This window comes from Homo sapiens, chromosome 15 (assembly GCF_000001405.40).
Source record: "Homo sapiens chromosome 15, GRCh38.p14 Primary Assembly".
Classification (NCBI taxonomy): domain Eukaryota; kingdom Metazoa; phylum Chordata; class Mammalia; order Primates; family Hominidae; genus Homo; species Homo sapiens.
The window spans coordinates 61,949,683-61,962,680 of record NC_000015.10 but is presented as its reverse complement, the minus strand read 5'-3'; the positions used below and the strand labels follow the sequence as shown (position 1 = coordinate 61,962,680).

General features: G+C 34.0%; 1 protein-coding gene across 9 annotated transcripts in view; it reads left to right on the top strand.

Annotated features, from left to right (window-relative positions):
* Nucleotides 1-12,998, top strand: part of VPS13C (vacuolar protein sorting 13 homolog C) — a 208,059-nt gene that overhangs the window by 97,767 nt on the left and 97,294 nt on the right. For all 9 annotated transcript variants that reach the window (XR_007064464.1, NM_017684.5, NM_020821.3 and 6 more), the window contains 8 exons: nucleotides 143-310; nucleotides 788-1,092; nucleotides 3,086-3,233; nucleotides 3,965-4,073; nucleotides 8,127-8,260; nucleotides 10,701-10,857; nucleotides 11,657-11,736; nucleotides 12,264-12,323. Coding sequence is in view for 8 of the 9 variants with exons in the window: in NM_017684.5 (NP_060154.3) it covers nucleotides 143-310; nucleotides 788-1,092; nucleotides 3,086-3,233; nucleotides 3,965-4,073; nucleotides 8,127-8,260; nucleotides 10,701-10,857; nucleotides 11,657-11,736; nucleotides 12,264-12,323 (1,161 nt within the window). In the remaining variant the exon portion in view is untranslated. The remainder of the gene's footprint in view (nucleotides 1-142; nucleotides 311-787; nucleotides 1,093-3,085; nucleotides 3,234-3,964; nucleotides 4,074-8,126; nucleotides 8,261-10,700; nucleotides 10,858-11,656; nucleotides 11,737-12,263; nucleotides 12,324-12,998) is intronic.

Sequence of the window (12,998 nt, the reverse complement as noted above, 5' to 3'; positions counted from 1 at the left end):
TTTTATTTTAAAAACATTAATGAAATATATTTCAATAGAAAAATTTTTTTATAAAGATTATAAATGTAAAGCCTTTTGTAAATGAGATTTTATTTTGTCATTACCTTCCCGGATAGAGTACATTCAAGTCTCTGTTTTTCAGGCTGTGTCAATAATGGGAAATGAAGTTTTCCGTTTTAATTTGGATTTGTATCCAGATGCTACTGAGGGGGATTTGTATACTGACATGTCCAAAGTGGATGGTGTGCTGTCTCTGAATGTTGGCTGTATTCAGATTGTCTATCTTCATAAATTCCTTATGTCACTTCTGGTAAAATAATTATTTGTATATTGATTTTTCAACTTTGAAATATTTTAAAAGTGTGATAATTATGATGGCAAATGTTATAAACCTTGGATTTTAGAGTGGGCATTATTTTAATTATATTTATGCGTGAATGTAGAGATCAAAACCCCTATTTAACAGTTGAAAAGTGAATCATTTAATGATTTTTGTCTAGAACAAATTATTTTTGCTACAATATAATGAAGCCAGATTCTTTAGTATAAAAATTATTGGAAAAAAATTTTTCTCTGTTCCTTAACCATATAACATTAGCTCAGTTCAGGCAGCTCATAGTTATAGATGGATTATCCGTAATTTCTTAATACTGCTAGAAAAATAGGGCTCAATGGAAAGTTAAATATTGGAAAAAAAAAGTTACCACATGTATGAAAAGAAGATAGTGTTATTATTGATGTGCCTGTATTCTCTTTGAATTTCTCTTTTTATGCTTTGTGTCCACAGAACTTCCTGAATAATTTCCAGACAGCCAAAGAGTCTCTGAGTGCTGCCACTGCCCAGGCTGCAGAAAGGGCTGCCACAAGTGTGAAAGATCTTGCCCAGAGGAGTTTTCGTGTTTCCATCAATATTGATTTGAAAGCACCGGTTATAGTCATCCCACAGTCTTCTATTTCCACCAATGCAGTAGTGGTAGATCTTGGGTTAATCAGAGTTCATAATCAGTTCAGTCTGGTGTCTGATGAAGACTACTTAAATCCTCCAGTAATTGATAGAATGGATGTGCAGCTAACAAAGCTTACACTTTATAGGTATGCTCTTTCAATAATTATGGATTTAAATATTATATTCATGATTTCCATGAAATTTTATGACTTGAAATTCCTACCCAACACAGTTTATTCAAATAAACTGTTCCATTACACGGAACAGTTTTTTTTATTGTTGTCATTGTTTTGTGTGTGTGTGTGTGTGTGTGTGTGTGTGTGTGTGTGTGTGTGTGTGTTTTGAGTTGGAGTCTTGGTCTGTCACCCAGGATGGAGTGCAGTGGCGTGATCTCGGCTCACTGCAACCTCTGCCTCCTGGGTTCAAGCAATCCTCCTGCCTCAGCCTCCCGAGTAGCTGGGACTATAGACATGTGCTACCATGCCTGGCTAATTTTTTTTGTATTTTTAATAGAAATGGGGTTTCACCATGTTGGCCAGGCTGGTCTCAAACTCCTCACCTCAGGTGATCCACCTGCTTTGGACCCCCAAAGTGCTGGGATTACAGGTGTGAGCCACCGCGCCTGGCCCAGAAGAGTTTTTTATTTTGTGTTTTGAGATGAAGTCTTGCTCTGTCGCCCAGGCTGGAGTGCAATGGTGCAGTCTTGGCTCACTGCAACTTCTGCATCCTGGATTCAAGTGATTCTCCTGCCTCAGCCTCCTGAGTAACTGGGACTATAGGCACGTGCCATCATGCCTGGCTAATTTTTTTGTATTTTTCGTTATAGAGATGGGGTTTCACCATGTTGGCCAGGCTAGTCTCAAACTCCTGATATCAGGTGTTCTGCCCATCTTGGCCTCCCAAAGTGCTGAGATTACAGGCATGAGCCATCGCACCAGGCCACCAGAACAGTTTTTTAATCAACTTTTGTTTTAAAAAATTTCAGACCTACAGAAAAATGGAAAAAAATAGTACTGTGAATGCACCTACATATCCTTCATCTAGATTCACCAGTTGTTTATATTTGCTTTAACCTATCTATAAACATATACATATTATTTAAAACATTTTTTGCTAAATCATTTGAGAATAGACATCTTTAACTTTTTGTCCCTAAATACTTTATCATATGTCTCCTATAAACAAGGACATTCATTCTCTTATATTAACTATGATATAATTCTAGAAATTTAATATCGATGTAATACTATAATCTGAAATTCAGTCAATATTCAGATTTTACCAGTTGTCCCATTATAATAATTCGCATTATAGGAATGTCCATTATAAAAATTTCTCCCTGATTCAGGATCACCCATAGCGTATAATTGTATTCTGTACTATTGAGGAAGATTTCTGTACTGACAGAAATTTATTTTGGAGTAGTTCTTCAGCTTTTCTTTGTCTTTTTATGACTACATGACTACTACTGTAGTTTTGAAGACTACAGTCCGGTTCCACTCACCTCTCAATTTGGTTGTGTCTGAGTGATTCCTCATGGTTTGATTGAACTTACACATTTTTGGCAGGCATGTTGTGTAAATTATTTTGTATCTTCAGTGCTCATACCAGGTGGCACATGAAATCTGTACATAATTCATTTTAAAATTATTTTCTACCCCATCCATGAAGATTTAATTATGTAGAATAAAAAATTAATGACTACAAGGCAAGTCTAGAAAATAATCCTAGAGAAAACCTTTATGAAATGCCTTGGAAAATGCTAACTCCTCTTGTTCACTTTGCCATCATTTTCTTCAGTCTCTGCACCAACATACCTATTAATCCTTGAACAACTGTATATGATGATTTTCTGTATTTCTTCAATGGTGTGGATTGCTTTTAAAAACTTATTCAATTTTTCACCTATCTACTGTTTAAAGAAAAAAGTTTTCTTAATGGTTCATTGTATATCACCTTTTAATTTGTCCCTTCTAGTGGATTATAGATTAATTATAGGTTCAGTTTTGAAAATACTCAAGCCACACTGTTTCAGATCAGTATTTAGAGCAGCAAATAACTGCTTGACTTTGCTTTTTTTTAATATGTTGCATTTCTACCCTATATCTATGCATTATGTAACATTTCTGTTTTTCGTAGGACAGTGATCCAGCCAGGCATCTACCATCCTGATATTCAGCTGTTGCACCCAATTAACTTGGAATTTCTTGTAAATCGGAATCTAGCTGCATCTTGGTACCACAAGGTGCCTGTTGTGGAAATTAAAGGACATCTTGATTCAATGAATGTAAGTATATGAGTGAAGAAAAAACTTCATTGTTGAAATTTTAAACTCCAAAGACTTTTAGCAGAAATCCAAATGAAATGTAGACTCTTTTGCTGAATAGTATAAGAGAAATTTCAGTGAGACTTTGTCCAACAAGATCATTATTATTTTCAGTAGAATTTAATCTTTAGTTAAGATTTCTTAACTTTAAAATTTATTATACATACATATTGGTAGAGATCTGTATATAAATTATGTATTAGCATATTATACTATATCTCATGTATTATATATGTACATTTTGTTTTTAGGGATATCTAAGTAGCCCTAAGATGATGATAGCATTGAGGGAAATATTTACTTTTTTATATTGAAGACAACCATTTTATTTCATTGGAATTGTTATTGTTTAAAAAGTAGAATTATGCATTTTCCAAAGTTGTCACTTTAATAGAAAAGGTCAGATTTCTTTGATCATAATTAACTTTCAATAAACATAAGTCAAGTCATTGGAGCCAATACTGACTGATAAATTACACTGGTTTTCTATAAACATCTTATTATCTTTGAAAATAAAAATTTTAACATGAAATAAGTAGTGCAATACTTAAGTGAGTTGTGATTGTATGTAACTTTTCAGTGTTAGGATTATTCTGTCCCTCATGTGTTGCAAATGGGAATTTATTTTCTGTATTAAAATTGTTTCATTTTAAAACGTAATATAGTTTTTTTTTTAACATAATATTTTACAGGTTAGTCTAAATCAAGAAGATCTTAATCTTTTATTTAGGATACTAACAGAAAATCTCTGTGAGGGTACTGAAGACTTGGATAAAGTGAAACCAAGAGTACAAGAGACAGGTAAGAGGCTGACAGTAAGTGGCAATATACATATGTGTCTATTTATTTATGGTTTAGTAGGGAATCAGCAAATAAAAAGTAAACAAATATATGTTTACAAATTGCAGTTTGTATTACCGAGTAAACAAACAAGATGCTATTGAATGAAATCATATTTGGAGATGATTGACTCTCTTAAGCTAAGTTGTCAGTTATAGTTTTGGACTTTTTTCTAAGTTGCGTGAGTTGAGAGGAGGCCATAAAGAAGAACTTCAAATCAGTGGTAGATTCTTGAAATAATCATTGAAATTGCATGTATAGAAGAAACCATTTTGAGTTGGCAGTAGGTTATGGTAGCATAGTGTATCTGATTTTTCAATAAGGCTTGGTAGTAAAACATCTGTAAGAATTGAAATGGTTGATAAATTATCACTTTCCAAAGATAATGAAAAGATTATACAGCAGTAAAAATGGAAAGAGAATTTAAATTATTAGTTACCATGGCCCTTTTGACTTAAAGAAAAAGTTCTAGCCTTATTTTTTAAGGTAATATATGTGTATGTCTATATATATATATAAAATGTTGTATACAGACATAAATGTATAATCTTTAGTTTTTTTCAAACAAATGGTAGCATCCTGTATGTGTACATGCATGTGTGTGTTTATTCACTTTGCTGTTTTTAAAAAAATATTAACAGTGTATCTTGGTGTCTATTCCATATCTGTAGATATGTATAGATCTGCTTCATTCTTTGTAGTGGCTGCCTGGTATTAAATTCTATTGAAGCATCATAATTTATTTAGCAAGTTCCTAGCACTAGACATTTTTGGTTGTTTTTAAACTTTCATTATTACCATGTTGCATTGAATATCCTCATACATATACTTTTACAAGTATGTATATTTCTATAGGATAACACCAGTTAAAAAATATGTAAATCTAATTGACAATTAGGTCAGCAAATAATTTCGATAGACTAATTTAAGATTTTGACAGATCTTGCCGATTGCCCTCCATAGAACTTTACTAACCCTGCACTCCCACCAGGTTGTTTTTCTATACCTTTCTAACATAGTATATTATCACATTAAAAAATTTTGGACCATGTGCTAAGTGAAAACCGGTATGCCATTGTATTTTTCATTATTAAAAAACTATTTTACTGTATTTTAATACATACAGTGAAGTATACAAATATTCGGTGCACTATTCAGTGAATTTTTGCATATATGGATACACCATGATCAAGATATAATACATTTTCAGCACCCCAGAAGGCCTCCCTCTTGCCCTTTCTCAGTCAGTACCCAACACTCTGCCTGCAAATCCACGCAGAGGTAACTACCATTTTAACTTGTAATAGATAGATTAGTTTTGCCTCTTCTTGAATTTCGTGTACATGGAATCATACAGAATTTACTCTTCGATGTTTGGCTTCTTTTATTCTTCATTTTGTTTGCGAGATTCATTCGTGTTGTTGTGCATAGGAGTAGTTTGTTCTTTTTATTTCTGTGCACTATTCAGTTATATGAATGTATCAAAATTTATTTTATTCATTCTTTGATGGACATTCAGGTTGTTTCCAGTTTTTAGCTATCATAAATGAAATTGCTATGAATGTTATTGTGTGTCTTTGACGTAGTTATATACACTTTTTTTTTGGATACATAGGTAGGAGTAGAATTACTGGGTCATATGTGAGATTTGGGTTTAGCTTCAGTAACTTGTGCCAAATTATACCAAGCAGTTTTCCAACTGGTTGTACCAATTTACTTTCCTAGCAGCAATGTATGAGAGTTCCAGTTGTTTCACATTCTCCCCAGTACTTGGCATTGCCAATCTTTTTAAATTTAGCATTCTGATAGATAGGCAGTGGCATCTCACTACGGTTTTTATTTGCTTTTTGATTACTGGTGAAGGTGATCACCTTTTCATATGGTTATTGGCCATTTGGATATCCTTTTATGTGATGTAACCATTCTATCATACAACTATTTGATGTTTGCCTTTTTTCTTATTGATATGTAGTTTTAAAATTCTGAATATGAGCCCTTTGTTGGTTAGTGTGTGTTGTATGCATATATGTATAGAAATATCTTTTCCCTGTCTGTGGTTTACCTTTCACTCTCTTTTTTTCCCAATTTTTATTTTAGATTCAGGGGGTACATGTCCAGGTTTGTTACATGGGTAAATTGCATGTCACTGCGATTTTGTCTACAAATGATCCCATTACCCAGGTAGTGAGCATAGTACCTGATAGGTAGTTTTTCAGCCCTCCCCCAGTCCCCCCCTCTCCCCTCTAGTAGTCCCCAGTGTCTGTTGTTCCCATCTTTGTGTCCATGTGTACTTAATGTTTAGCTCCCACTTACGAGTGAGAACATGTGGTATTTGGTTTTCTCTTGCTGAGCTAATTAACTTAGGATGATGGCCTCCAGCTCCATCCATGTTGCTGAAAAGGACATGATTTCATTCTTTTCTGTGGTTGCATAGCATGTCATGGTGTATATGTACCACATTTTCATTATTCAGTCCACTGTCAGTGGGCATCTAGGTTGATTCCATGTCTTTGCTATTGTGAATAGTGCAGTGATGAATAGGTGAGGGCATGTGGTCGTTTTGGTAGAATGAGGTATTTTTCTTTGGGTATGTACCCTGTAATAGGAGTGCTGGGTCAAAGGTAGTTCTGTTTTAAATTCTCTGAGAAATCTCCAAACTGCTTTCTATAGTGGCTGAACTAATAATGTATATTTCTACCTACAGTGTATAAGTATTCCCTTTTTTCTACAACCTGGCCAACATCTGTTATTTTTTGACTTTTCAATAGATATTCTGACTGGTGGCCTTTCAGTCTTTTAATGGATCTTTTAATGAATAAAATTTGTTAATTTCAATCAACTTAAATTTACTGGTTTTTTAAATGATCAGTATTTTTTGTTTTCCATTTGAAAAATCTTTGCCTATTCTGGGAATTGTTTCATAAAAGCAAAAATATTTGCTAGAATCATTTCCCCTGGTTCACATTATGTTTGGAACAGTGATGGAGTAAGGTGATAGTTAGGAAACCTTGCGCTATGCAATGCTTTGTCAAAGGTAATGATTAACATTAGCGGCTTTCTGTATGGAATTCTGGTGTAGCTTACACTACATGGTTCCTGTGTGTTGTATTAGTGGTCAAGATAATGTCAACCGCAATAATGGTAATAACTAACTTAATGATATTGAGGGACAGTGGCGAGTGAAGACTGTAAAATCAGACTGCTGAATTTGGGCTCTGCCATTTGTGCGACACTGAGCAAGGGACTGAATCTGTCTGAACCTCAATTTGCCCATCTCTGAAATAAGGACAATAAAGTTCTTATCTCAAAGAGATGTCATAAGAATTAAATAGAACAGTCCATATACAGACCTTAGAACAGTGTCTGCCACACAGATGAGCACTTAGCAAGTGATAGCTGTTGTTATTTTTTGTATTACAGTTTAAAACAATTTTATTGCATTTCAGGGTGTACGAATTTCAGAAACACAGCATCATAATTATATAGCTTTACCTTTGTTTATTAATATGGCATAAGAGGCCCTGACCTCCCACTCCCTTTTTTCTTTTGTAGTATTACCTCTTGTTGTCCCCCTTATGATTCAACCATATCAAACTCCATTCTGTTTGCAAAACCTATCATGTGTTATCATTCCCTGGTTTTGCTCCTTTCTAGTAATGTCTCCACCGTGTGAGGAGGTCCTTTGCTCTACTTGAATAATACCTCCTCTAATACATCCTTTCTTGACTTCTGTATAACAGTGTCACGCTTTGTTCTGTGCTTGCAGTGCATTTTATATAGAGTCTATTAACATTTGTTCACTTAATGTGACTAGGTGTGGCCTGCTTGTTTGTTTGTATTTTAAATGTATATGTCTCTTCCACTAAACCATGAGTTTTCCAAGGGCTAGCGCTGTTACTAATTCGTGGATTTTCATTGCCTCTACCAGGTCCAGAATACTCATATAAGTCCACAATAAATATTTGTGGAAGAAATTTGTGAATAAAAGTAATGAATTTCTTTTAAACATTTCAGGTGAAATTAAAGAGCCCCTTGAAATCTCTATATCACAAGATGTACATGATTCAAAAAATACTTTAACAACTGGAGTGGAAGAAATTAGGTCTGTAGACATCATTAATATGCTGCTGAATTTTGAAATTAAAGAGGTGTGTAATTTTCATCTGTTTTTGTAAAGTGAGGTGAATAAGTAATGGATATTGGAATTACCTCTACTAAACTTACAGATAATTGATACTGATGAAAAAAATCTATGTGGGCTGTTCACATGTAGCAGTGATGTTTTAAAAATTGAAAGTTTGTTAAGGATTTGGGAGTTTATAATATTTCATAGAGAAAATGACAGCATGTTGTATAACATGCTTTTTAATGATTTTAGGACAGTTGGAATGTCACTTGCTTTGGATGTCATATAAGAAATGCAGGAAAGGACAATAGTGTCAGATAAATTCTTTTCAAATGTTAGAAACTCTTGATAGAATAAAACACAATATGCCTGCATTTTAAAAAAAAGTTACATTACTAATATGTTTGCCATCTGCATACTCTTGAGGAAAGATGAAATACATTTTCTTCTTTATTCACCCATCCAACAAATATTTATTGTATATGCCCAGTGACAAGGATAGAGGTAAAAGGCGTAGAGTCTGAACTCATGCAGGAAAACTGTTAACATTTTTGTAATTATTTCACGAAAACTCTGCTGAGGATACTAATTGGAGCTTGGGGTGCTGATGGTAGGGAGGGGGCATTTAAGCAAACTGAGAGGGTCATAAAAGATTTTCCAGAGGAGGAGACATTTCAATGAAGTTTTTAAAGAGAAATAAGAAAGGACTATAAATCATGCTGCTATAAAGACACATGCACATGTATGTTTATTGCGGCACTATTCACAATAGCAAAGACTTGGAACCAACCCAAATGTCCAACAGTGATAGACTGGATTAAGAAAATGTGGCACATATACACCATGGAATACTATGCAGCCATAAAAAATGATGAGTTCATGTCCTTTTTAGGGACATGGATGAAATTGGAAATCATCATTCTCAGTAACTGTCGCAAGAACAAAAAACCAAACACCACATATTCTCACTCATAGGTGGGAATTGAACAATGAGGACACATGGACACAGGAAGGGGAACATCACATTCTGGGGACTGTTATGGGGTCGGGGGAGGGGGGAGGGATAGCTTTAGGAGATATACCTAATGCTAAATGATGAGTTAATGGGTGCAGCACACCAGCATGGCACATGTATACATATATAACTAACCTGCGCATTGTGCACATGTACCCTAAAACTTAAAGTATAATAATAATAAAATAAAATAAAATAAATTAAAAAAAATTGTCTGAGAAAAGGGATCAGGAAAGGGTCTGGGGCAAGGCAGAAAGAGGAACAGGCATAAAAGTGTGAGTATGTGAGAAAGCATAGTGGATACAGGGACTTGCAAGGACTTCCTCTAAGATCCGTTTTATCATTAAATAATTTTATAGAGGTTATGTTTTTGCTCTGAGCTAAAAATAATAAAGTTTTAAGTAGGCTGGTTGCAATGGCTTATGCCTGTAATCTCAGTACTCTGGGAGGCCAAGACTGGAGGATCGCTTGAGTTCAGGTATTTGAGACCAGCCTGGGCAACATAACAAGACCCCATCTCTACAAAAAAAAAAAGATTTTTTTTTTAATTAGTCAGTTGTGGTGGCATGTGCCTTTAGTCCTGGCTACTTGGGAAGCAGGAGGATCGCTTGAGCCCAGGAGGTCAAGACTGCAGTGAGCTCTGATTGTGCCACTGCACTCCAGCCTGGGTGACAGAGCAAGACCCTGTCTCTAACAATCAATCAGTCAATAAACAAACAAACAAACTTTTAAAGGAATGGGCTCTACTTTTTAGAATCTGAAATACATCCTTTGATGTTATATGTTAAACTTGGATGTTTTTCTGGTTAATATCAGAGTTAATGAAGGTTTTTAAGCCTTGGTAGTTGAAACATTGATAGATGAATCATTCTATTTGCAGATATACTTAACACACACACACAAACACACATACACACACACATATATAAAGTCCATAAGACCTTTTAAATATTCTTTGTAATATATATTATGATTGTTCTCCTCCCTTAGGACAATGATTGGGTTAAAGGGGAGCAGTTTGCATTGCTCCCAATGGATATTTGGCATTGTTTGAAAACATTTTCTGTTGCCATTATCTGGGGGGAGAATACTAATGACAACTGGTAGGTAGAGGCCAGGGATGCTGCCTCATATCCTACAGTGCATAAGACATTTCCCACCACAAAGAATTACCAGCTCAAAATGTTAATGGTGCCGAAGATGAAAGAGCTTGCCTTAGGAGTGGTGTAAAAATTGGCTGTTGGTCTTACAGACTTTCAGAAGAAAGGCTGTCCATCAGACTAGGAGTTCTGGGAATCATGCCAAACTGCAGGCACAAATAGAAGTACACATCTTAACATTGTGTGAATTTCTTCCTTATATCACTCTGGATACTTATTAAATTCTTGACTTACCTTCATTGCATATTGGTGAAATAGTTGGTGGTAATACTGGTACCGTTTTTTAGGTTGTGGTTACTTTGATGAAAAAATCAGAAAAGAAAGGAAGGCCTTTACATGAGCTAAATGTCCTGCAACTTGGAATGGAAGCTAAAGTTAAAACCTATGACATGACTGCTAAAGCTTATCTAAAAAAAATTAGTATGCAGTGCTTTGATTTCACTGGTAAGTGTGAAATATTGTCTGTGTAAATTATTCATTAGGCAGATGATCCCTACCTTTTTATCAACATTAAACATATTGATTTCTGTGCAATTGTGTTAATTTCCTAGTACATTAACTCAACTTTTCAAAAACAGTCCCTGGGTACAGTTCTAGGGGACCCATTTTGAAAAGCTGGGTTAATTTATTAGGAAATGTGATGTTTTATTTGTTTTTTAAATTTTTAAATTATGTGAGTTTTAACATTTCTTTTTGATTATGTTAATATGTATTTGTGAAAAATGAAAATCAAATACAAAAGTATATAGAGGAAAAAATTAATATCATCTGTAGTCTCATGTCCTTCCCTCAGAATAAATACTAAGTTATCATTAGTGGGTATCCTTGACCTTTTAAGTTTCTGCAATAAGCTAACTTTTAAAGTTCTGTTAGTGTTTAAAGTTTATAAGAACTCTATGGGATATCTTTAAGTGAAATAAACTTGTATTGAGAATAATCCCTACTTTATGTATTTTATAGGTTCTTTATACCATGATTTGTTTAGATGAGAGTAATACAGTAGTACCATAGGTTATACCAGTTGTAATTGGTGGGTACTAGTATTTTTGTTTTATGGAATTTGTTTCCTTTTTTTTCAAAGCCAGGTTTATTGAGGTAAGATTTATACAGAACATACTTCACTCTTTTTAGTGTACAGTCCTGAGTTTTGACAAATGTATATTTGTGTACATTTGGCTGGTCCTGTTTTAAAATGTGTGAAATGTTTAATTGATGGATCAACTTTGTCTTTTTTCTCTTTTAGACTCTAAAGGGGAACCTCTTCACATTATTAACTCTTCTAATGTGACTGACGAACCCCTTCTGAAAATGTTACTGACAAAGGTAACTAGTTTCATTTCTAGGATTCTTTAATATTTGAATATATGAAGTTATATTACCCTTATATTTAATATTCTCATTTTCTCTCCCAACATTTTTCTACCTAAACTTATTGATTATGGTGAATTTTGCAAGCATCTGAAAATCCTGGATACTTTCATTAACCTTCTGAGTTACCCTATGATATTGAATAAATGGTAATAACCTAAAGTTCCATTGTAATCCAAAGCAAAGTGTGTTATAATCTAGCACTTTTTCCTACTTTTTAGATTAGTGTACCTAATCTAGATATACTAGCATTTCCTCCACAGTAGGATAAGGAATTAGAGTTTTTGCTTGTATGGAATGTAAGAAATGCTTATGTGGTCAGTTTGTTTTTGTTTTTTTTTTTTGAATGGCTTTCTTTGCCTTTAGGAAATATCTTTTTACTCTTTTAATAGCATACTTAGAAAAGTAAAGAATATGTATATTTTCAGTGTATGAATTTTTAGTGTTTGAAACTCAGTGGTGTAATTCTCCACTATTTGTAGGCAGACAGTGATGGACCAGAATTTAAAACTATTCATGACAGTACCAAACAGAGACTGAAGGTAAAACTTTTATAATTTGCTATAAGGTTGGGTTGTGTTGATTATATCTAGCTTCATAGCCATTTTCAACTGTGAGATTGTAAGTTCTAACGTGAGAATAACAGTGGCAATAATAATATTCCTAATTTATGGATAAAGTTAAGTAGATACTAGAATTGGAATAAAGTTCTTACAAAAAGTTGATTTATGTTCTGAAAAGATTGTTTCCCAGTTTTGACTTAGATTTCTTGACAAGTATGTGAATAATACACTTAAAGGGAATTTTGTTACTCATTTTTGTCAACTGTGGTTTTTTGGCCTAGCGTTGATGGAAGCATTAAACATTTGAATTATGTATTGGCGTTAGGATTAGAATAAGATTAACTGAAGCATAAAGCAAGGCCTGGTACAGACATTACATACAAGCATTACCTGTACTGGACCTGGTACAGTCCATTTGAACATGCATAATCAGCTTGGAACTGCCTGAAATGTGGTTTAAAGCCTGATAATATTTCCTGTATCTTTACTTAAAACTCATCCAGTTCTTTTGAGTTAAAATTGTGGTTGCACATGGGAGTGAGCAGAGAGTTGATTTATTATCTGGCAAGGATTGACATTTTAATAGTGAGTTAATAGTGAGTTCTTAAAAAAATAAAAATTTTAAAAAGGCCCTTAATTGAACTGTTCTTGTGC